Below are 26,295 nucleotides of genomic sequence, written 5' to 3'. Positions count from 1 at the left end.
GAAGTCCTAACCGTTGGTGTCACTATTCTTTCTCATTAGTTTGATACACAGTGTGGTATACAGAGTTAGAGATTTCTGGGTACAAAATTTTATCTCCTAACTATATGATGCTAGACAAATTTCTTAACTTTTCTGAGCCTTAATTTCATAATATGCAAACACAGATATTATAATCTAAGCACTGTTTTGAGAATTAGAGAAAATGTGCATAAAAAACTACATCTATGGTGTTTGACACAGAGAAATCACACACGGATACTGCCTATTCTTCCTCCTTCTACTCTTTCATTCATTTAAAAATAATTCCTAGTAAGCCTTCCCTTCTTAAAAGTAGAAAAACATATCTACTTTTTTCTATTTTTCTACTTGTATCAGAAAATCCTACTTTCTCTGAAAGCTTTAAACATAATGAAAACACTCCTCAAACAGCATTCTGATAAGGTGCCTAGCAGCTCAAAGATCAGGCACAATAATAGATTATGCTTTCCATCAACCCTTTCCTCCTTATATGAAATGTTATTTTTCCTTTCCTTACAACATTAACACCTTTGAATATCCCATATCATATCATATTTATTTATTTATTTATTTATTTATTTTTGAGACAGAGTCCCGCTCTGTCGCCAAGGCTGGAGTGCGGTGGTGCGATCTTGGCTCAATGCAACCTCTAACTCCCAGGTTCATCGATTCTCCTGCCTCAGCCTCCTGAGTAGCTGTGATTACAGGCGCGTCCCACCACGCCCAGCTAATTTTTTTGTATTTTTAGTAGAGACAGGGGTTTTGCCACATTGGCCAGGCTGATCTCGAACTCCTGACCTCAGGTGATCCACCCACCTTGGCCTCCCAACCTATATCACAGTTATTATAATCCCACCAAAGCAAACAATAGATTGGTAAAGTATCCCTGAGATTTTGGGAGGAAGGTTATATTTGAGATCATTATCATGTTTTGAAATAGAAGAAACTAAAGAGTTAAGAAATTACAGACATGCTATCTAGCCACTGAAAAATATGAGAAAGATTACTTCAACTGTCTCTCCAGTTTTTTCTACTAAGTCACACCTGTCTGTCATTAACAATTCACCTGAGACTAATTGGAATTTTAAAGCTAAAAATATGCTACAGTAGCAGCCATAAAAAAGGATGAGTTCATGTCCTTTGTAGAGAAATGGATGAAGCTAGAAACCATCGTTCTCAGCAAACTAACACAGGAACAGAAAACCAAACACCACATGTTTTCACTCATAAGTGGGAGTTGAACAATAAGAACACATGGACACAGGAAGGGGAACATCACACACCGGGGTCGGTCAGGTGGTTGGGGGCTAGGGGAGGGAGAGCATTAGCAGAAATACCTAACGTAGATGATGGGTTGATGGGTGCAGCAAACCTCCACGGCACGTGTATACCTATGTAATAAACCTGCACGTTCTACACATGCATCCCAGAACTTACAGTGTAATAATAAAAAAAAAATTTTTTTTTTAATGCTACAGTGGAAAACGTATAAGGCAATGGAAAATCATGTACTGGCTGACGGTAATAATAATAAAGTGTACTCCAAAAACTACTATTACAACTTCCATACCCAAGAGTGGCTCCCCAAAAGCAGCTTAAAATAAGAATGGCATATGCTATACTACATGTTTTACATATTTTACTAAGTTGCTATACTCTGAGTGAAATGACCTCAAACAGAAAAGCACTTGTAAAATACTCTCGACAGTTCAAAGAAACGACTCAAGAAGTCAAATAGCGGGGAGACAACTTCTCTATCAATGTAGCTTTCAAGCCTACATTGACATAGTCACTAACATGCCTTATTGTGTGGCAGACATTAGTGGCATATCTGCTTAATCAGATTATCACATACAGCCATATTCCAACAAAAAAGATCTCTGAAAACAAAACCTGCTTTATATACCACCACTGAGCATGACCCAAATATAACAAGATTAGAGGACACTGTTTGCCAAGGCAGGAGCAATTAAAAAGTGATACAGTCCATTCTCCATGAAATGGAGTATTCTACCAACCTTCTCAAAATTAAATTTGAGAATTTAATTCTCAAACTGTTCCATTTCTAATATCTAAACCTTGGGAAATCCCTTTCTCTAACCACAGCCTACTTACCTTCTACCTCTCCCACTCTCACCTTCCAGAGGAATGTGCTTTTGTTGTCACAATTACCTCCAGGTACTAACCCTTCAATCTCCCAATTCATGTCCCTGGGGACTTTTGTTGCTTCCTTGTCCCTCTAGATACTAAAGATCAGTCATTGCAAGTATCTTCCCACTGGCTTCCATGAATATCTGTTGCTACTGACACTCTTCCAAACTCATTTCGCCTACAGGTCTGGGTAAGTCCCATCATCCATTCATTCAGCAAGTATGTATGTGCCAGGCACTATTTAAGGTACTGGTGAAGCAAACCAAAATCCCTGTTCTGTCGAACAAGGGAGACAACAGCAATCAAGATAAATAAGTAAAACACCTAGAAGATAGCAAGTGCTACAGAGATTAAAGCAGGAATGAAGGTTGCAATTTTAAATGTGGTGGATCAAGGGTGGCCTCATTAATGTGACATTTCAGAAAATACATTTCCTGCTCTGTGTTACCACCGTATAAAACCTTTACTGGGTCCACTAGTAAAATCTCGCAAAACTCTATGCATAAGAATGTTTACTGCAACTTTTGGCACAACTTCATTAAAAACTGGAAGCAATCTAACCAGTTAGTAACTGAAGCGCTGATTGGTAAATTAAAGAACAGATCTATAGACTATTATGTAGCCATTAAAAATAACTGAAATAAAAGTTCAATAACATTGAAATCTACAAAGTCCTGTGAAATAAGCAAAATAAAAAGTAAAAAAAAAGTACATAAGTCTAGTCTGTAAAACGCACAAATATAAAAAGTATCAGCGTGGTTGAGATATACATTTTACCAATCTTTTTAATAATTGCTTCAAAAGTTCCATTCAGCCAGGCCTCATTGCTGCTCAGTAATCCTTTTACTCACCTGTACACTAATCTTCCCCCACTGGGATTAAAGTTTATATAATTTCCTCTAATGCCAAACATTAACCTTGCCTACTTCATTCTCAAAAGACCTTTTCTCCTTTCTCAGTGATAAGCTTGAGGCCATCTAATGTAAGCCAAAACAACTGTCATTACAAAAAAAAAAAACAACAACAACAATGCATTTCCCCACCCTCTCCAACTTCAGGATACCTCTTCTAGACCGAGGTTTTGCTCTGTTTCTTCCTGCCCTCCTTGGGTCCCTGCTTCAGTAAATCATCCCCTGGCTGCCTGTGGTTTTCCACCCACTTCTGGACTAGCTCCTTCCCCACTCCAGCGGTAGGAATCCTTATTCAACCCTGTCGATCAGTTCTCACCCAAGGAATATGGCCCCCAGGGGACATTTGACAATAACTGGAGGCATCTTTGGTTGTCACAACTCAGGAGTAGGAGGGGATCCTACAAAGCACAGGACTGCTCCCTACAACAAAGAATTATCAGGCCCAAACTCGGTAGTGCTGGCATCGAGAAATCCTGCTGAACGCACTGAAACATGTTCTGTCTTCCTCTTCCTCTTTCCTTCAGGGAGTCTCACCATCTCTACCTCCTTTCCAGCCATTTCAACATTTTAAGGCTTTGTGGTCTGGCTCCTACTCACTTTGGTTTTTGTTTTTTGAGACAGAGTCTCGTTCTGTCACCCAGGCTGGAGAGCAGTGGCGCGATCTCGGCTAACTGCAACCTCTGCCTCCCAGGTTCAAGAGATTCTCCTGCCTCCGCCTCCCAAGTAGCAGGGATTACAGGGCGTGTGCCACCACACTTGGCTAATTTTTCTATTTTTAGTAGAGATGGGGTTTTGCCATGTTGGCCAGGCTGGTCTTGAACTCCTGAACTCAGGTGATCCATCCTTCTCTACCTCCCAAAGTGCTGGGATTACAGGCGTCAGCCACCACACCCGGCCTCCTACTCACTCTGAATGCTACCAAAGCTTTGTCACAGGTATCCAGTGATAAGTAAATATCAAAATCCAGTGGTTTTTTTTTTTTTTTTTTTTGAGACGGAGTCTCGCTCTGTCGCCCAGCTGGAGTGCAGTGGCACAATCTCGGCTCACCGCAAGCTCCGCCTCCCAGGTTCACGCCATTCTCCTGCCTCAGCCTCCCAAGTAGCTGGGACTACAGGCGCCCGCCACCATGCCCGGCTAATTTTTGGTATTTTTAGTAGCAACGGGGTTTCACCATGTTAGCCAGGATGGTCTTGATCTCCTGACCTTGTGATCCACCTGCCTTGGCCTCCCAATGTGCTGGGATTACACGAGTGAGCCACCACACCCGGCCCAGTGGCCTTTCTTTATCCCTGTCAACCCTGAGTTTTGCAGAATTTAAAAATGTTGATCTGGCTGGGCATGGTGGCTCACAGTTGTAATCCCAGCACTTTGGATCACCTGAGGTCAGGAGTTCAAGGCCAGCCTGGCCAACATGGCGAAACCCCCTCTCTACCAAAAATACAAAAATTAGCCGGGTGTAGTGGCGTGCACCTGTAATCCCAGCAACTCGGGAGGCTAAGGCAGGAGAATCGCCTGAACCCGGGAGGCAGAGGTTGCAGTGAGCCGAGATCGATGCATTGCACTGCAGCCTAGGCAACAAGAGTGAAACTCTGTCTCAAAAAAAAAAAAAAAAAAGAAAAGAAAAAAATATGTTGATCTGATTCTTCTTTTAAAATGTATTCTTATTTGCCATCCACAAAAATCCATCCTATACATCTACTGTTTTCCCTGGCTCCTCTTCCTCATCTCCTAGAGGTGAACACATCAATTCTCTGCATTCAGTCCTCTTCTTTCATCTATCCTTTCCCACAGCCCCAATTCACCCCCACAATCTCTTTCTCTTGACTCAAAGTCTCTCTTAGTTCTGCACCAACACTTCCAACTACTTTATGAATGTCTTTACCAGGGTGTCTAATGGGCACCTTCAAATTTCAAACCTCAATTTTATGTTACTCCATAATCAAAAGCAGCAGCAATGCCAAACCTATTTCCATTTATGAAACCACTGTTATCCCTAGCAATACCACTTCCCTTGCTCAGAACATTCTGAACATGTTGACTTCGTGTTTGCAATGCTTCCCCCATTCAGCTCCTTATTTCAAATCCTACAGGCACTGGTCTAGTTCAGACTTTGACTGAATTACCTGGACTCTTACAGCCACTCTTGTTATGGGGCAATTACCCTAGGGCCTTCACTACCCCCCAATCTATCAGAAACAACTGTTTCAAAGCAATAGTGACATCATTCTTTTGCTCAAAAGCTCTGTTCTACAAAACAAAACAACGTTTTTGTTGTTCTTTTTGTATTGAGAGTGAAATACATGTGTGCCTGTATCACCTAGGCTTTCTCTCTTCATCATAATCTTAATTCTGCGAAGCATCCTATCTCTACTGTATAGATATATAAAGCAAAGAGCCACAGAACTTCATGACCAAGGTCACCCAGCTAATAAGCAGAGCCAGAATACTATCTCTTTCCACTCTACCACAGTGCCTCTATAGGCCATGCCACACCAGCAACTCTTCTGCCGGGCCATCACCATTCTCCGTATTCACCGATGTTCTTTTCCAGCCACAATTAATCTTCTTATACCCCATTCTGCAGCCAAACTGTAAATGTGCATTCCTCAAAGACACCTCATCATCCAGGGATTCCAGACTATCCAAAACCCACCCATCTTTCGGTCTGGCTTACTGATCGCTTTTCCATTCTTTTCTCTATGGACATAGGATCTTTCCCCTCCTCCTTATTATATTACTCTCTTGTGACTTTTTTTTTCCTTTTTTCTTTTTTTTTGATAGAGGGTCACTCATGCTGGAGTGTGCTGGTGCAATCTCAGCTCACTGCAGCCTCAACCTCCGGGGCTCCAGTGATCCTCCCACTTCAGCCCCCTGAGTAGCTGAGACTACAGGCACGCACCACCATACGAGCTAATTTTTGGATTTTTCCTAGAGACACGGTTTTGTCATGTTGCCCAGGCTGGTCGTGAACTCCTGGACTTAAGGAATCTGCCTGCCTCAAGCAATCTGCCTGCCTCAGTCTCCCAAAGTGCTGGGATTACAGGCGTGAGCCACTGCGCCTGGTCTCTACTGGCTTTAAAAAATACACACACACACACACACACACACACACACACACACACACCTCTTTGGGCTATTTAATAGGTATTTATATACTTTTCTCAGCTCTCTAACTAGAACAGAAGCTCCATATTAGGTGTGGGACAGCGTCTGCTGGAGTTGCATTTTACTGAGGGTTTAAGATCCAAAGTTGGTACATAATATAAAAATACGAGTAAACAAAGTATTTCTCTTTATCACTTTTTTTTGGCCAGTTAACAAATAAAATCTTGGCCTAACATTTTTGGGCCATGTTACATAAAAACTACACATCTCCAAACAACAGCATCACAAAGCAGAACCGGACATGCACACAGAAGAGGAATGTGGGAATGGAGACCAATGAGGTTACAAACTGACTTCTCAACATAGAAAATGAGTATTTAGCTTAGTGTCTGCCCCTCTTCCCCAAAAGCACATGCACACAGCTTGTCCTTTTCTCTTCATAATAATTATAATTTTGTTAATGGGTACAAGGTACATTATTTAGGTGATGGTTATACTAAAAGCCTACAGTCACCACTACTACAAAATATGTCCATGTAACAAAACCGCACTTGTGGCTGGGCGTGGTGGCTCACGCCTGCAATCTCAGCACTTTGGGAGGCCGAGGTGGGTGGATCACAAGGTCAAGAGATCCAGACCATCCTGGCCAACATGATGAAACCCCGTCTCTACTAAAAATACAAAAATTAGCTGGGTGTGGTGGTACACGCCTGTAGTCCCAGCTACTCGGGAGGCTGAGGCAGGAGAATCGTTTGAACCCGGGAGGTGGAGGTTGCAGTGAGCCGAGATCACACCATTGCACTCTAGCCTGGCAACAGAGCGAGACTCCATCTCAAAAAAACAAAAAACTGCACTTGTATCTCTTAAATATATACAAATATTTTAAAAGTTACAATTTTGGTAGGATCAGTATTCAGTATCTACATTACTATGCATCTAGAAATGTTGTACACAGGTGATCTAAGTAATATACTATGATTACTTGCCTTACTTGTACAAATTATTTTTCTCTTGAATAAAGTCAGTCATTTCCGGTCAGGCACAGTGGCTCACGTCTGTAATCCCAGCACTTTGGGAGGCCGACGCAGGCAGATCACGAGGTCAGGAGATTGAGACCATCCTGGCTAACACTGGGAAACCCCGTCTCCACCCAAAAAATATAAAAAATTAGCCGGGTGTGGTGGCACACACCTGTAATCCCAGCTACTCAGAAGTCTGAGGCAGAAGAATCGCTTGAACCCAAGAGGCAGAGGTTGCAGTGAGTCGAGGCTGCACCACTGCACTCCAGCCTGGGCAACAGAGCGAGACTCCATTTAAAAAAAAAAAAAAAAAAAGTAAGTTATTTTCTTTTTTCTAATTACTCCCAACTAAAACTTTGTTTTAATGGTCTAGCCTCATAAACTAATATTAAAAGACCATTCAATGAAACATTTACTGAACACCTATTAAGTGGTAGGCACTATGCTAGAGGCTAGAGCTACAAAGATACATGACATCTGTCTCAACATTAATGTCTCAATATTAATTACTGTTAGCCACAGTTTGGCTTACTGAAGTTATTGCCACCTTCATAGATGCAAAAAAGCAGGAAAGAATGTATGAGGAGTTTTACCCTTATATGTGTGGCATCTTATGCACTAAATATAGCATATTTCATCAAAATTAAGATGCTATTACTTGTAAAGGCACCATCATCTTATGTACCACTAAGGCAAAAAACTGTTGCAAATTAAATTATGATAAAATGGTATAACAGCATTGATCAAAATGTACCTGATTTGAGATGAACATTTGAAGACACTGTAATAGAGTATAAATAAAGTGAATTGTCTCTCTGTAGCACTGGTAGTGATAGTACAAATAGTTCACATGAACCATTAGTTCCAACATCATCTGCTTCACAGTATGCTCTAACTTAATGTTACCATGCACCAATGTTACCATGCACCTATGTTCCCAAAGTATGCAACCAATGGACAGCAAACACCTGTGAATAAAGCAGCTCAGAGGCTTTATACAGAGCTGCAAGGAACCTGAGAGACCATGGCTTGGTACAATTTCACAAATACAACTAAGACACTAGTTTTCAAACTTCTAAGTAGCTGCATGTTTTCAGATAAAATCATATGCAGAAATAGAGTGGCTATGTGTGACAGGACCAGTAGAGGGAAGGAAAGGCAAGGCCCTGCTCTCTCTCTGTCCACTCTCCTTCTTAGGTGAACTATGAGGCCCATACCTAGAATCCTAGGTGTATCTGAATGCTCTACAATTCTAGCACAGAATTTCTTTATGTACTACTACCACATTTCCATTTTAAATCCATCTTCCACATTCAGTCTCCTTTAGACTTGTAAAATAACTACTCAGCATTCTCTTGACTGGAAGCCCTTCCTACATCTACAGTTGGTAATTAAGTTGTCCGTCAGCCTTGTGTTTCTGCCATAAAGAGGACTATGGCTGGGTATCTAAAATTTACCTTGAAAAATGTGAACAAAGATTATATTGTAACCAAATCAGGCCTTGCAGGACAGGAAAGCATAACCAAATGCACTAGAAATTCTGGTTGTTTCAGTTGGTGAATTAAGAGGCACCATAGCCTCAGCTGACACTTTAAAAAACCAGACAAAAAACAAGTGAAAGAAAGATCTGTAGATGAACGAATATAAATACTGCAGGAAGGTCCATAGAGATTTCTACTGCCTTCTGATTTTTTTTTTTAATTCCAATGAGGAAACTATCACCCTGAATAAACGAAATGGTACTTTACCACCAATTGTGGCAATGATGCAGTACAGGCATTGTTTCATTACTACTACATCAGACAGTGTTAAAGTCTCTTAGATTTTCACATTCAACCCGATTTCAAAACAGACTTTAAGATATGAAAAGCTGACAATATGATTACCTTGAAATTTTCAATCTTCCTGTCATGAGGTAATTAATATTGTTTTTAAACATCCTTTGGGAGCCCTGAATTGTATCTAGTTTCCAGCACACTTCCAGGAGCAGTCTCTCTTGTGAGCTCAGCAAGACTTGCTGAACTGCACTATAACAATCTTACTCATCTGGAAGCCCCATTGAGAACCAGGACCGTGTATCTCCTGACCTGCTGATCTCCACCACTCAGCACAATCTCTTGACATACACAGTTACTCAAGTATTTGTTGGGATTTCACTCCAGGGCAGAAGAGTACAAATATTCTTCTCTTTTACTCACAACGTTTAAGATGGTTTGAGATCATCACTCTCTGAAGAGACAGATAATCTAAGGAAGTAATTCTAATACAACCCAATGTAGTGGCAGTAATGGCTCAAAAGGCACAGGTGGCAAAGGAGACTAAACATGACAACTAAATCCAGTGTGTGATCCAGATCAGGAGGAAAAATACTTAAAAGAACACTATTAAGCAGATGGTGAAAAGTAGAATATAAACTACTATATATTAGATTATTGTATTAATGATAAATTACTAATTTTGATAAATGCACTGTTACTGTATTGACTGTCCTTGTTCTTAGGAAATATATGCTGAAATATTTAGGAACAGAAGGTCATGATTCTGCAACTTACTCTCAAAGACTTCAGTAAAATTCTATATATGTATATGTATACACACACAGATAAAGCAAATGTAACCAATGTTAAGAATCGGAGAATTTGGATGAAGGATATATAGGAGTTCATTGCACGTTTCTTGCATCTTTTCTGAGTTCAAAATTTTTCAAAATACAAAGTTAAATGTAAAACATTTTAATAAAGGCAGAGGTGAAAATTGCTTCATTCTTCTGTTATTATTACTTACTAAAGGTAGGGAAGAAACTAGTATTATTTGAGTATCTACTTAAACAGATACTGACAGAAAATTTTAAGTACACTAATTTAATCCTCTTATCAGTCCTTCAAAGTGGTAGTATTCCGGTTTCAGAGATGAGGAAATTGAGAACAGAAATATTAACATATTTGTTCAAGGTATACCACATACATTAGCAGTTTGATAAACCTCAGTTCAAAATCAAACTTTACCACTTACAAGAAGTGAGAACTTGAGCTAGATACTTAACCTCTTTGAGCATGCATCTTGACCTATAAAAAATGTAACAGTCCTTTTAAAAGGTTGCTGTGAAAAAGCAAAGAAAGTTGTTGTGGAAATTAATGAGGATAGTAAATAAATTATTTAATAATGCCTGGCACACAGTAGGCAGTCAATAAATATTAGCACCCTCTTACTTAGCACATTGCTAACAAGTAATAGATTTGAATCCAGGTTGGGCTGCTCCCAAAGCCTGTGCTCTCCCCCTTATATAATGCTGCACTACTTTAAGTGGAAAGGGCTGGCTTTTGTAGGAACAGTTCATGCGGTGCCCACAGCAGGAAGTATTCAGGGTAATTTGAATGCAACAAGGAGCAAAGAGGTCTTTAAGAGAAAAATTTTTTTATGAGTCAAAGGAATGTTCCTTCCAAGTAGAACATTTCTCAACACACATTCTCTGATAAAAAGTTCCAAAGTCCACCATCTGCTACATTGATCAACAGAATAGTGAGCGTTGAAGAGACTGACAAAATGTTGGACAAACTGCCTAGCCCAAATTCTCATTCTCCGTCTTTAAAAAAAAAAAAAAAAAAAAAAAAACAAGCACATTCTACTCAAATGAAGGACAATATTGATTCCGACAGGCTGGAAAATGGCATGCCCACATTGCTCACCATATTGTTCACAAAATTGACACCAACCTACCTTTTCCTACGAGGAAAAAAATACCAATTCACTACAAATTCATCTAATTATGTTCAACTGAGACTTCCCTAGAGGCTAAATCATAGTGTGGTATGGGAAAAGTACAGGTGCTAAAGTCTGAGTAGAATCCCATTTATACCATGGTCTGATCTAAGACAAATTATTTCGCTTCTATGAGCCAGAGTTTTTTATCTGTTTAAAGAAAAGTGGGGGCCAGGTGCAGTGGCTCACACGTGTAATCCCAGCACCTTGGGAGACCGAAGCAGGTGGATCACCTGAGGTCAGGAGTTTGAGACCAGCCTGGCCAATATGGTGAAACCCTATCTCTACTAAAAATACAAAAAAAAAAAAAACAAAAAAAACCTGCTGGGCGTGGTGGCGCATGCCTGTAATCCCAGCTACTCAGGAGGCTGAGGCAGGAGAATCGCTTGAACCCAGGAGGCAGAGGTTGGAGTGAGCCGAGGTCGCGCCATTGCACTCCAGCGTGGGCAACAAGAGGGAAATTCAGTCTCAAAAAAAAAAAAAAAAAAAAAGAAAAGAAAAGAAAAGAAAGAAAAGGAAAGTGGGATAACAGCAGTTTTCTTACAGAGGCTCAAGGATTAAGATATAAGGACAGAGATATATATATATATATATATATATATATATATTTTTTTTTTTGAGGCAGATTCTCACTCTGTCACCCAGGATGGAGTGCAGTGGCACGATCTCAGCTCACTGCAACCACCACCTTCCAGGTACAAGCGATTCTCCCACCTCAGCCTCCCAAGTAGCTGGGATTACAGGCGCTTGCCACCACGCCCAGCTAATTTTTGTATTTTTAGTAGAGACGGGGTTTCGCCATGTTGGCCAGACTGGTCTCAAACTCCTGACCTCAGGTGATCCGCACGCCTCGGCCTCCCAAACTGCTGGGATTACAGGTGTGAGCCACCACGCCCGGCCGAGATATATATTCTTAATATGCATACTACTAGTAAGTACTCATTAAATACTGGTTTCTATTTCCACAACATAACCACTTCCTTTTATTGTTAATATTTATCAACTGCTTAACAATGTATCAGATATTGAACTGTGCATTTGGTACACATCATCTCATTTACTCTCGTAATCATTCTGTGAAGGAGAATATTATTACCGTAATTTGCAGGTCAGGAAACTGAAGTTGTGAGAAATGTAGTAACTTGCCTAACAGCTACTAAGTAATGGAGCCAGCCAGCATTTGGATCAACAATCTAAACCAAAACACAAACCTACCTCTGCTGCCTATTTTGTAGCAGAGAATGCAGACAGACGAAACTAAAAATATAAATAATTTTAAAAATACACATTTTGAGAGACTAGTGTGCAAGTTCTAGATCATTGCGTACTATGGATATGGGTACAGAAGTTAGTAGTCCATGGCGTCTATGGTCATTTTTCTCTTGCTTTTCATCCTGAGGGGCTACTTCACTCCCTTTCTCAATGAGTCCATAACTTCTGGAATACTACATCACTCCAATAGCCAAAGTTGTATTTTTTAGTCCTACCTTACTGTACTGGTTTCAAGATCTCGAAAAAAGTGATTTTCAGCATACTGCCACTGTATTAGTTATAGATGCATCGATATCTAATATACCAACATTCACAAGATTAGTAAAAATTAAAGTTAAATCAATTTTATACTAGACAGACGTATAAATTTATTGATGTGATCAAAGTATTTAGTTGGTTCCTCTTACTGAATCAGATTTAAGCCACCAACCTGATTCAACAAATAAATCAATTTTCAGATGCAATGTTAAGCTCAATCTCACTAAAGTAACCTTTTAACCTTAGCTGCACTTTGAAATTGCCTGGAGAGCTTTTAAAAATCCTTATGTCCAGAGGCTGGGCATGGTGGCTCACGCCTGTAATCCCAGCACTTTGGGAGGCCAAGGCAGGTGGATCACCTGAGGTCAGGAGTTCGAGACCAGCCTGGCCAATGCGGTGAAACCCCGTCTCTACTAAAAATACAAAAATTAGCCAGGTGTGGTGGCGGGCGCCTGTAATCCCAGCTACTTGGGAGGCTGAGGCAGGAGAATCACTTGAACCTGGGGGGCGGAGGTTGCAGTGAGCCGAGATTGCGCCGTTGCACTCCAGCCTGGGCGGCGAGTCAAACTCCGTCTTAAAAAAAAAAAAAAAAAAAAAAAAATCCTTACATCCAGATGGCATATCACATCTATCAAATCAAAATCTCTAGAGGTGGTCCTCAGGCATGAGTGTTTTTTAAAGCTCCTGCAGAGACTTTAATGTGCAGCCAAGGTTGTAAAACACTGCATTAAAGTAACCTACAGGTGGCAGTTACTTAAAAAAGAAAAGCAGAGTTAATACTGGCCACATTGCAATGAATATGGGAGTTGCAAACATCATTTCCTTTGACCTAATTATACAATTCCTTGAAATTTAGCCTAAGGAAATAATTTAACAGAAGCAAAAAATCAGTAGGTAAAAGATAAGGCTCACTCTAGCACTCACTAGTTTTAATTTTTTTAAAAATCAGAAATTGATATTCAATATTAGTTGAATAATTTACTCATAATAAAAGAGGGCCTCAAAAATATTTATAAAGACCATAGAAATAGATAAAAATATGACAAAGTGAAACTATCAGACTACAAAATGGAGCATCAGCTACAACTGTTATTAAAAATTCCATACAATATGGGAGGTAATATCTGATAATAAAATAAACCTGTCTTATGCAGGTGCATCATGAATATTATTATGTACAACTTAATTATTAAAAATAAATAAATAGGCTGGGTGCAGTGACTCACACCTGTGTTCCCAGCACTTTGGGAGGCTGAGGTGAGAAGATTGCTTGAGGCTAAGAGTTCAAGACCAGGCTGGGCAAAACAGGGAGACCACCCCCACTCTTTGCAAAAAAAAATTAGCCCGGCCTGGTGGTGCACACCTGTAGTCCTAGCTACATGGGAGGCTGAGGCGAGTGGTCAAGGCTGCAGTGAGCTATGGTCTCACCACAGCACTCTAGACTGAGTGACAGACCAGCAAGAGGAAGAATTAATTGATTATTTTATTTTTACTGTTTTTTTTTTTTTTTTTTTTTTTTTTTTTAGGTGGAGACAGCAGGTATCACAGGAGCTCCTTGAAACGAACACAGGAGTAATAAACCATGACGCAGACATCTGCGCTTAGGCTCCAATGCAGTTATATTTAGTTCACAGTAGACCAACACCAACATCAAATAGATCCTCATCTAAGAAACAATCCCAGATAATCTTTACTCACTCACTAATGTACTTTTTCTTTTCCAACCTTCTCACCCCCCAGATGACTTAGAGCATCTAAGTGATTATAAGTTATAAGTGATTAAATAAAGCAGGGGTCCCCAACTCCCATGCCACAAACCAGTACCAGTCTATGGCGTGTTAGGCCACACAGTAGGAAGTAAGTGCAGGCTAGAGAGTGAAGCTTCATCTGTATTTACAGCTGCTCCCCACTGCTTGCATTACCACCTGAATTCCGCCTCCTGTCGGATCAACGGTGGCACTAGATTCTCACAGGAGCGTGAACCCTATCGTGAACTGCGTATGTGAGGGATCTAGGCTCCTTATGTGAATCTAATGTTTGATGATCTGTCACTGTCTCCCATCACCCCCTGATGGGACTGTTTAGCTGCAGGAAAACAAGCTCAGGGCTCCCACTAACTCTACATTATGGTGAGTTGTATAATTATTTCATTATATATTACAGTGCAGTAATAACAGAAATAAAGTGCATGATAAATGTAATGCGCTTGAATCATCCCCTCAACCATCACATCCCCTCCTCCCACAGGTCCATGAAAAAACTGTCTTCCACAAAACCAGTCCCTGGTGCCAAAAAAAATTGGGGACCACTGAAATAGAGATTTCTATTTAAATATTATTTAAATTTGTATTTATACACAAACTAGGTTGATCTATGTCAGAACTTGTGTTGTCTCTGTCTATTCCATGACAGTTATTGGCTTACTAGCTACTTAACTGTCTTCTGTTTAACCAGTGCTTCACGCCACTTAGTGAGGCTGAGAAACACAGGCCCCTGAAAATTATTTTCAAAGCGAGAACATTACCACTGTTGACCAAGATCAACAACAGTGGTAATGAGAACAGGAAAAAAGAGAATTGCTTACAAAATAAGCTGAAACTTGGAAAGAATGATATAACTGAATAAAGTAATTTCAAACCGATGACAGAAAAAAAAGTCAAATTTCCAAGAAATGAGGGGGAGGGGACGGCAAAGGGAGGGAGGAGGAGGAGGGAGGGGAAAGGGAAGGGAGGAGTACACACTCATCTTTAAAATGTCAAAAAGTTTCTTTAGCTTTCTCGTGGGGCAAAAACACAAAACAAAATCAAACAGAAACCCTGTAGGATTACCAATTTAAATAACAGAATCAGGAGAGAAAGGAATGCACATCCATTTCTTCCAGTTTTATTTCTGAAGATCATGAGAAACTTAAACATGATAGAAAGATTAAGAACTAAATATGAACCCAAAACTCCAGTGTAATGGTGAACGTTAAAATCAGCTGATTAACAAGCTTCCAACTTAATGGAGAAGCGATGTGTTCCATACTTACAGAAACTGGTAACTTTAATCACAAAGAAGTCATCACTCTGTAAACTAGCTTTTCCAGTTCAGGAAAAAAGACACATTTTTGCTCATTTGTCTAGGCAGGACCCCCATCTTCAGGCACGAAGTTCACTTAACTATGTGTGAGGTTATCATCACTAAAATTCAAGAAAAGAACCCATACTCAACAAGTCCAATAAGCTTCTAATGACCTTGCGTATTTTTATATAGCCCACTGACCTGATTCGGCACTTTTCATAAGTTATAATTAAAGTTGATTAATCCTATTTAAAAACAGTTACATTAATAAAATAGGTCCTCATAAAGAGATAATGTCTTTTGGACAAACTAGATGTGACTTTTCTCATGTTTCTCCTGTAATTTGCTGCTTTTGCAGAAACATATAACATTGATTTACTCTCCCTCATAATAGCACTGCACAATAAACAGGTAAGGTGGGTCAGAGAACTTCTCAAATTACTTACAAGCGATCAGATTTTTTTTAACTTTTCAATTCATCACTGAAGCAAAGATTCTAAAAATGAACTACTGGAAAAATGAAATTTAATGTGCACAGATTCTGGGGAGAAAAACTACTGGCAGAAGAGATAAGAGGCATAGCATAGATAGGAATACGGCATGTGGTATAAGCTATAGACCCATTGGACAAGGTTTCATTTTCTCCCAAAGGTAAACTTCATATAGGCCTGAGCAAAGCTGAAAACCAACTGAACAATAGCAAGAGTATTTTAAAAGTTCAGTCCCACCCAGTCTTTATTATTGTTGTTATTGCTATTAAAATCAAAAGTATCCAAATATCAGCTTTAACAGTCATGTTCTAAAGAGGTTCTGTCGTGTGGGCATGGGGGCTCATGCCTGTAATCCAGCATTTTAGGAGGCTGAGGCAGGCAAATCACTTGAGTCCAGGAGTTTGAGATCAGCCTGGGCAACATACAAGACCTCATCTCTACACAAAATTTTCAAAAGTTAGCCAGGTGCGTTAGTTAGTGGTGGTGCGTGCCTGTAGTCTCAGCTACTGCGGAAGTTGAGGTAGGATGTCGAGGCTACAGTGAGCCATGACTGGGCCACTGCACTCCAACCTGGGCAACAGAATGAGACCTTATCTCAAAACAAACAACAAAACACAAAAAAAACCACACCTAACAAAAACGACAACAAAAGAAGCTCTATAATTTGTTGAAATGATTTCCCTGAATCAAATGTGAAATATCAGGAACAAATCACAGTACATAATAAATATAAAACGATTGTAAAAAGCTGTATTCAGTTTTTCAGAGCATTTTCATCATAAATATCTTATTTAATCTTCCAAGTAACAAGGCCAAGGTTCTGCAGATAGATAGCGTTTAGGCAAATCAACCAAGGCTTCACAGAGCTAAGGGCTGAAATGAGGGCTAAAAAATAAATTTTAAAATTAATTCCAAGCAATCTGTTTATTCTAAATCAATTTAGTGTAGTAATTTATGTGGATTAATGAGCAGAAAGAAAAGATAAAAGCAAAATGTTTCTTTAGATCACATTTTAAAATGGCACTAAGAGGTATTCGACTGAACACTCACACCTTAAACAACAAAACCACTTCAAATGCACATATTCTCTAAAAGGAAGTGTATACACAAAAATCCCAGAAGACGTTTACAGCAAAATTGTGTAGAGAATTTTTATTTACTCTGTATGTATTCTAAAACGCAAATCCAAATCTTCACTTAAGGAAAATAAAACAGGTGCTTATGGTAGAAAATGTCTTCGACTGGAAATGGCGGCTTCTTCTGAAGAGCTTTCTGAGGAGGTGACCTAACAACTGACCTGAGTGGTATGAAAGAGCCAGCATGCAGAGTTAGGGAACAAGAACATCAGGCAATGTGTACAGCAAGTACAAAGATCCTGAGGTGGCAATGAGCTGGCCAGGGAGGTTACAGCCAGTGTAGCTGTGCAGACAGAGCTATGGGAATGAGAAAAATGTTATGAAATGAAGTCTCAAGAGTTGCACCAGGTTCAGATTTCACAGAGCTTTGTGAGTCCTGGTAGGAACTAGGATTTTATTCTTGGAGGGGTGAGAAAACACTAGGGGGAGGAAGGCAAAAATGACAAAACAAAAGAAGGATGCTAACAATATTTACTACAGTCATGTGCCACTTAGCCATGTTTCAGTCTATGATAGACCATATATGGAATGATGGTCCAGTAAGATTATAATGCAGCTGGAAAATTCCTATCACTCAATGATGTTACGGCTGTCATAATGTTGTAATGCACTGCATATCTGCAGTGATACTGGTGAAAGCAAACCTACTGTGCTGCCAGTCATATAAAAGTATAGCACATAAAATTATGTACGGTACATATTTGATAGCGATAATAAAATGACTATGTTGTTGGTTTATTATTTACTTTTAATCCTCACAAAAACTCTGAGGCAGGTATCAGTGTATTTCCATGTTGCATGTGTGGAAACTGAGACTTAATGAATAATTTCCCCAAGAATTCACAGCTGTAAGTGAAACGGCCACAATCTGTACTCAGAGCTAACTCTAAAACTTATGTGCCTCCTTCCACTACCCACAACGAAACCTACCTCTAAAAAAGTTTCAAACCACATTCAAATTATACTAACTGGATGTCTGATGTAATATTTATCAGAAGCTAATAAAGTATATTAGGGTTTTTGTTATAAGTTTTATAAAATCCATAGCAAGTTTTTCAAATGCAAAATAACACAAATTAGAAGCCATTTCTCAGAGATAAGGTTACAGCATCCAAACCAAGTGTCCACAGTTTATGTATATGATACAACAAAATTCAATAAGCCCAGGATGAGTTTCAACTAATTTTCTAGCATTCTACCTGCCATGCAATAATCAACAACCAATCAGTCTCTGCCTTCTTACCTTGCCTAGCATGCGCAAGAAAACAATGGGGTTTTATGCTAACATACATAGAAAACCCAGTCAAATTAACTTAACTGCAGAGAAGAACACTTTTCTGATCCTAACAACACAAGTCCTTCAGGGAAGTTCAATGATGCTTCAGGTTGAGTTACAGCAAAAAGCCAGAGAAAATGTCAGAGAATAAACAATGAAGATTAACAAAGCATTGGTCTGGAAGCTGATACTCACACATGGCTGCCCAAGCACCCCGAATATCGCAAGCCCATCCTCTTTTAGTTTTGGCTTCATACTACAGCTTTAAAAATAGAGGAAAGCAGCCTGGTTACCCCTCCTAAAGGCGTGTTTCGCTCCAAGTTTACTTCTGACAAGGAACTGCAGCATCTAGTTCCTTTTCTGAGGGCTATTGCAATATCTTCTCAAAACCACATCACCATAATAGTGTCCAACCTTAATGAGTTCTACAAACCCAACCACAACTCTACTCAAATGGAGCTGGAGAAGCTAAATGCCAGAAAGGGGTAGGGGGTGGGGGGTAGCTAATCCACCTCAAAATGATGTATTTTAGCTATCCGTAGGGAACTCGCTGCTAGGCTAGTTATGGTCAGATATGCAATCCTGCATACCCAGGGCCACAAGATATTTTAGCACTGAAACTTAGTTTTCCTCTTTTCCTTCCTTTTTTTGGGGGGGAGGGAACATAGAACTGCCACTCTCGCCTTAATAATTAGCATAAGGAGAGTGCAAAGAAAAAGAAGGCACATCCTTGAAGCAACTACTGTCTATGAGTAATTTGCTCTAAATTTTGTGCTTTTAAACAAAAAAAGTTTTATAAGGTAATTGTTAGAGCATAAGCTGGAAAGTCAGACAGAGTTGGTTTGATTCCTTACTCTCACCTTACCATCTTTGTGATCTTGGACTACTTAAATTTCTCTGCGCTTCAATTTCCTCATCTGTAAAGTGAAAATACTAAATCTGTCATGAGGATTAAATGAATGTGAATTCAAAATGTTAGCTGTCTGGACACCCGAAACGATTGATATATTGTGACTGTGTGGTATGCTAGAGGGCTGGTATAATTCTAATGAACCAAAAAAGAAGGCAACTTCTGAGTATTAGACTTAAAAAAAAAAGAAAAAAAAGTAAGGGAAGCCTGCTTGTGGGGTAAGTGTCAAGCAACTACCCCTACAACACCTACCACAATTTACCCTCCAAAATTCTGTAAGGAAAATGGGGCTTGGTTTCCCCACTAGGTTAAGAGATAGTTACAATTGTGGGGTGAGGCTGACTAGGAAACAGTAAGTCAGAAACTGAATGGTGGTTAAAAGAGATATCATATTCATACGCACCTGAAATATTTCCAATGAATTGTCCTTCCTAGCTCTCCAAATAAAGAGATATCTAAGCTCCTAAGAACTTTATAAACATGTTCTTGTTTAATCCTAACAGATCTATGAGGTACATATTATTTTTCCCTATTTTGTAGATGAAGAAACTGAGGCCTATAAGAGATGTTAAACAATAGGGACACACCAAGTTCAGCTTTGCCATTTTTAAGGCCAAAGAGATGGATGCCTGCTGAACAAGGATTAAGTGATTACAGGGCTACCATCACTATCAGTGAGGCAGCACCACCAATACAAGAAATACTATTAAAATAAAGAGTACTATGTAAGCATTCTCTACATAATCTAAACCAGCGGTCCCCAGCATTTTTCGCACCAAGGACCAGTTTCACGGAAGGCAATTTTTCCACAGATGAGGGGGCGGGGTATGGAATGGTTCTGGGATGAAACTGTTCCACCTCAGATCATCAGGCATTAGATTCTCATAAGAAGCATGCAACCTAGATCCCTCACATATGCAGTTCACGATACGGTTTCCACTCCTATGAGAATCTAATGTCACCACTGACTGGACAGTAGGCAAGCTCAGGTGGTAATGCTCGCTCGCCCGCCTGACACTCACCTCTTGCTGTGCAACCTGGGTCCTAACAGTCCATGGACCAGTACCAGTCTGTAGCCTAGGCGGTGGGGACCCCTGATTTAAAGTACAAATCTCCTTATGTGCTTTTTATGCAGAAATTCTATTGGCCAGTTAAAGCATAAAATATGTACTATAAGAATAAAATGGTACAATAATCAGTGACTATAGAAACTGTTAATGTCATATGCAAAAACAACTAAAGAGTTTTCAAATGGATAAATAGTTTGACAGTTAAAATGAATATTAAGAGATAGTGCACCGGCTAGATAACCTTAGGAAGAACATTTTATCTTTATTAAGCCAACAAATATTTATTAAAATTTAAATGGTATAAGAATTACAGATGTTAGGCCAGGCACGGTGGCTCATGCCTGTAATCCCAGCACTTTGGGAGGCCGAGGCAGGCGGATCACCTGAGGTCAGGAGTTCAAGACCAGCCTGGTTAATATGGTGAAACCCTGTTTCTACTAAAACTACAAAAAATTGGCTGGGCATGGTGGCGAGTGCCCGTAATCCCAGCTACTCAGGAGGCCAAGGCAGGAGAATTGTTTGCATCTGGGAGGTGGAGGTTGCAGTGAGCTGAGATCGCGCCATTGCACTCCAAATTGGGCAAAAAGAGCGAAACTCCGTCTCCAAAAAAAAAAAAAAAAAAGAATTACAGATGTTAGATTATATTAAAACTCTAGATTTAACTTTTTATTAACTAGTGTTCAGAACACTAAACATTAAATAAAACAATTTTTTAAATTGTAGATATTCCATTTAGGCCATGTGTCTTTCTAGGGTAAGTTCAATTTGAAAATCATTCACATAAGAATAAAATTAAGAGCAGAATGTCAACATTGCCATCTCCAAATTTTGTAAGAAAAAATGGCCAAAATCATGTATAAAAACTATGATAAATCCATCCTGGCTAACACGGTGAAAAAACATACAAAAAAATTAGCCGGGCATGGTGGCACACGCCTGTAGTTCCAGCCACTCAGGAGGCTGAGGCAAAAGAATCACTTGAACCCGGGAGGCGGAGGTTGCAGTGAGCTGAGATCGCACCACTGCACTTCAGCCTGGGTGACAGAACGAGACTCCGTCTCAAAAAAAAAAAAAAAAAGGCCAAAAAAACGATGATAAATTATCCTCAATCCTGATATAAATGTATTTTTAAAAGTGTTAGGAAAAATATCAGGTACCTCAAATACATTTTGTTTTCATTAATAAAACAAAATAGGCTTTAAGAAGAATACTTAAGAATACTGCGCCTTATTTATGTCTATGGACATTAAAGATTTAAACAAAACCTTGTCAAAATGATTATTATACAATGATAACCAATTTCAGCAGCTAAAAGATTTTTGTGATTCATTAAATCCAGAATCCTAACACAAAATTCCTTCTAGAACATGTTACTGAAAAACTTCCCTGAATTATAACTGTCTGTAGTTCAACTAGATAGAGGTCTTACTGATGTGCCAGGACAAGTTGTATATGCTGTTTAATGAATCAAGAACAATCTAGAAGTTGGTAATGCTGAGAAACTGTTCTCCTACTATAAGGTTAAACTTTCAAAACAGAACAGGCAGATATTAATAAATGCATAGGATTGGTTGTATTTTTTTACTACCTCATATTTATTCTTGTATCGCGTAACTTCATTCTATGCTGGTGATATTCTGCTCCAGCCAAATAATGGTTTTAGTGAAAATGTTTATTCAACACACCTAGTTTTTTTCTTGTTTCTCTAATCACTTTCCTTGTTTCCCCAATCACTTCTATTTCTGCCAATAATAAATGCAGGTAAAATGTTCAAGTCATTCTTTCTATTGGTATGCGTTTAAGAAAACTTTAGAATTGACCAAGTAAAAATCACATGTAGCTTTTAAGAGCAGAAGGTGCTATCAACTGATCCTTCATTTTCTCACACCTGACTATCAAGCCCTATACTCCAGGTCTGTATTTTCTTCCACTTAAGCCTGAAGTGAAGTCAGAAACAAATCACATGCTGTTGCCATAGATAATTTGTTACCACAGATCAAGTAGTGTAATTTCACAACTCTGACCACTCTGAAGTCTAAATGTTATACGGCAACCAAGAACAAACACATACCTTGCTCAGTACATATGTGTCATTCTGCAGGGAGAGAAAAGAAGTTTATAGAAACACAAGATGCTTGGAATGGCTCTGTGATTCCAACCAACTTTAAATTCCTACCCATCTTCTTAGAAAGCCCAAGGGAGTTTGTAAAAGTTCACAGGACTTGGAGTTACAACCTGGTTCAAATTATTCCTCCATCACTTACCAGCTATGGCTATTACATTTCCTTGTGCAATGGAGATAAAACGCCCACCTTCAAAGGGCTGGGGAGAGGATAAAGATATGAGAATTTACACAAAATACCTAGCAACGAATACAATAAATTGCTCTATAAGTACAATATTATCTTCAGAAAGTACATTTTGCAATTTTCTAGCATGTTGCCAGATAGGCAATCCTGAGATTACTAGTTAAATGGTTTAAAAAATACAAAATGTCAAAATGCTTAAAGTTGTCCAGCTGAAAACTTAGGGGGAAAAAAAGGCACTGAGAACCAGAGTTATTAACCATCATAAATTAATTAGGTTAAAAGCCTGAAAATGCTACCAAACATGCCTCCTCACAAAATTCTATGAATAAATCCAAATACAACCTAAAGACAGGTTGTGAAAAGAGCGACTAACTATACGGCCTTGGACAAGCTGCTTTAGCCTCCCCGAGGTTTGCTGAGGGGTTTTAAATGAAAACGCAAGTAAAGCACCAAGGTAGTACTGTGCATAATACAAAGCAGGTATTCAATATTCAATAAATGTTAGTCTCCTCCCCCATTCTCTAGTTTCCACTCAGTTCTACAACCTTATCTTTACCAAGACACAAAGACCTAGATCACACAATGACAAAGGAAGTCAGATACAAAGGGATGGACAGACTGATGAATGGGAATTTGGCCAGATGTCAAGTTATCCCAAATCCTGCCTCTCTGGTTATTATTTTTAAGGTATGTCTGTACATTTGTTTCATCTTTTGCTTTACTATGCAAAAGCAAAGTCTCCAAACTTGTTTTGCACCAGATGGGCTACTGAGGACCCACTTGTCAAGTACCTGAAGAGGAATCTAAAAGGGCAAAATTACTATGTTGGCAGAACATCTTGCTCAATAGCACTTGGTTCCATTGTGAAATATGTATTCTTGAGTAGTCACTCCACCACCTAACCCTACACCTAGGTTTCAAGCGCAAGTGTCTTGTAAGAAGGACTTGAGAGCTTACAGGCACAAACCCTTTGAGAGGGGCCAATAGTGCCCACTACAGTAAATCATGACTGAGTACCTAGAGCTTGTCAGGCTGGGTCTGTGTTCAACATTCACATGTGTCCCCTCAATCTGGACAGATCGGTGCACTTTAGGTTCTGTTACTTTGCAACCTTGTGAACCGAGACCTTGGGCAAGTCACTTTACCTCTCTGGCCTCAGTTTCCTCAATTATAAAACAGAGATGGCCAGGTGCAGTGGCTCACGTCTGTAATCCCAGCACTTTGGGAGGCCAAGGCAGGCGGATCACGAGGTCACGAAATCGAGACCAGCCTGACCGACACGGTGAAACCCCGTCTCTACTAAAAATTCAAAAATAAGCCGGGCGTGGTGGCGTGCACCTGTAATCCCAGATACTCGGGAGGCTAAGGCAGGAGAATCACTTGAACCTGGGAGGTGGAGGCTGCAGTGAGCCGGAATCATGCCACTGCACTCCAGCCTGGGTGACAGCAATAGTCTGTCTCAATCAATCAATCAATCAGAGATGACAATACTTACCATATGTAAAATGGTAGCTTAAATGTAATCAACCATACTTTAAAAGTCATATAATGGGTAATATAAATGTACAGTTATTATAGTAAGAACCTTGTTTTCCTCAAAAAACATATAGACTAGAAACCATATAACCCTTTACATTTAAGAGTCATTTAATACTGTACCCTAGTAGCCTCGTCCTGAGTCTCTTCTTTCTCTCTGCCAAATTTTTGTAGAGGGAAGAATATGGGCCTTGGCATTCCACAGCTGTCTGTGTAACAGTAGCTCTACAATTTTCTATATAGCCTTGGACTAGTTACTTTAATTATCTGAGCCTCCATATTTCTCCCGCAAAACACAGATAATGCCTATTTCACGAGGTTGATATAAGGTTGAAATGAAACAATATCTGTAATGTACCAACCATGGTTTCTAGTGCAGTATAGGCATTCAATAAATGAAGATTTGTTCAGCTGATACTAAAAATAAGATGACATTTATGAGGACAAATATGTTTAAACTGGCTCTTATGGCAACTGAAATATTTCAGCACTTGTATGCCACCACTCCAGAGTTGAAATTCTTAAAATAAATACTCTTCTTATAAGGGTGGAAGGACTGTAAATGATTTTTTATCCATCTAGAATTCCTTGTTCCATTAATCTACAGGCATCAACATCACAGCATGTATCAAAGGGCCAAACTAATTTTATTTAAAGTAGTATCTATTACACTAGGGAATAATTTCCAACCTACATCAAGTCCCTACATCAAGTCCTACATCAAGTAGGGACATTCAAATGATGCTTAAAATACTTCAAGATTCTGGTAAAATTTCCCTGAAGTATGAAAAACTGACATAGGCATTAGAAGGAAAAGAAAATTAAAGAAAGGGAAATGGGGGTAACATTTATGTCAATCACTGAGTTATGCTCTCTACATGAATTGTTTATTTCTCAAAGCAACCCATTGAAGACAGTCCTCTTCTTCTTCTTGTGAGACCAAAAAAAAAAAAAAAAAAGGCACTGAGGTTTGGAGAGGTTAAGTGAATCACCCAAGATAAATAATACAGTTTCACAGAAGTAGACCCTGGATTCAAAACCAGCCAGTCTAACTACAATTCTCCAATCTCTCTACTAACTTTAATTCACAGAGAACTACAAGAAATATTACAAAACAAGATATCTGGTAGACCGATCAACTGGAATTTGAGTTTCATTGATCAGTTAACTCTAATTTTACTGATGTCATTATTATTATTAATATATAAGAAATGTTCAAATAGAGTATCTTAGAGTTTAACAAAGTATTTGCACCAATCTTTTTTTAGTTAAAATAACCTTGTGATGTAGGCAGAACAGGTATTATCATTAAGAGAGGGGAAACATGAGACTCAGTGGATAGGTGACATTTTCCAAGTCACACTAACTACTAAGTAGGCAAGCTTAGATTTTTATTAAGCTTTTAATCCGTAAGCAGTTCTACCATACTATACTACCATCTTTCTCCAAGAAGAAATATTTATGCACCTTTATTTGCTCCACAAAAATAACCAGAATCTGTATGACAAATAAGCCCTAATTTTTCATATTGCATACACTAAAGGCTGGGTTATCATCCAGGAAGTAAATAGCAATATCCTTTATTTATGAGATGAAGAAATCAAGGCTTAGCAAGGAAAGTTTGCAAATGGCAGAGCCAAAATGCAAACCTAGGTTTGACTTCCAAGTTTGCACACCTAGTCACTAGCTGGAGCCTCCTCTTACTCTCAAGCTCCCTCATACCCCCAACATGGGTGATCCAAGTCCCAAGATTTCTACTTTGAGATGTGTGAGTAAGAGATCAGCCAGATCCAATAACATCTGGCTCTAATATTTTCTTCTTAGATAACTACAATGCCACGCTCATCTGATATTGTCACTTCCTAGCATTCATGACACCAAGAGCCTGCAAACTGGGGTCTTTACCTATTCTCTCCATTACTAACTAGTTAGGTGACCATGGGTGGGGTCTTCAAATCAGAGGAGATGATTGTCCAACTAAAGGAAAAGTAGGCCTACATGTTTTGGGTAC

General features: G+C 39.3%; 1 protein-coding gene across 2 annotated transcripts in view; it reads right to left on the bottom strand.

The window, feature by feature from the left end:
• The window catches only part of AKAP13 (A-kinase anchoring protein 13), a 368,756-nt gene that overhangs the window by 175,213 nt on the left and 167,248 nt on the right, over positions 1-26,295 (bottom strand). The gene's annotated exons all lie outside the window — the stretch shown is intronic.

This window comes from Homo sapiens, chromosome 15 (genome assembly GCF_000001405.40).
Source record: "Homo sapiens chromosome 15, GRCh38.p14 Primary Assembly".
Lineage (NCBI taxonomy): Eukaryota > Metazoa > Chordata > Mammalia > Primates > Hominidae > Homo > Homo sapiens.
The sequence above is the reverse complement of the archived record's forward strand: the minus strand, read 5'-3'. Positions and strand labels throughout refer to the sequence as shown.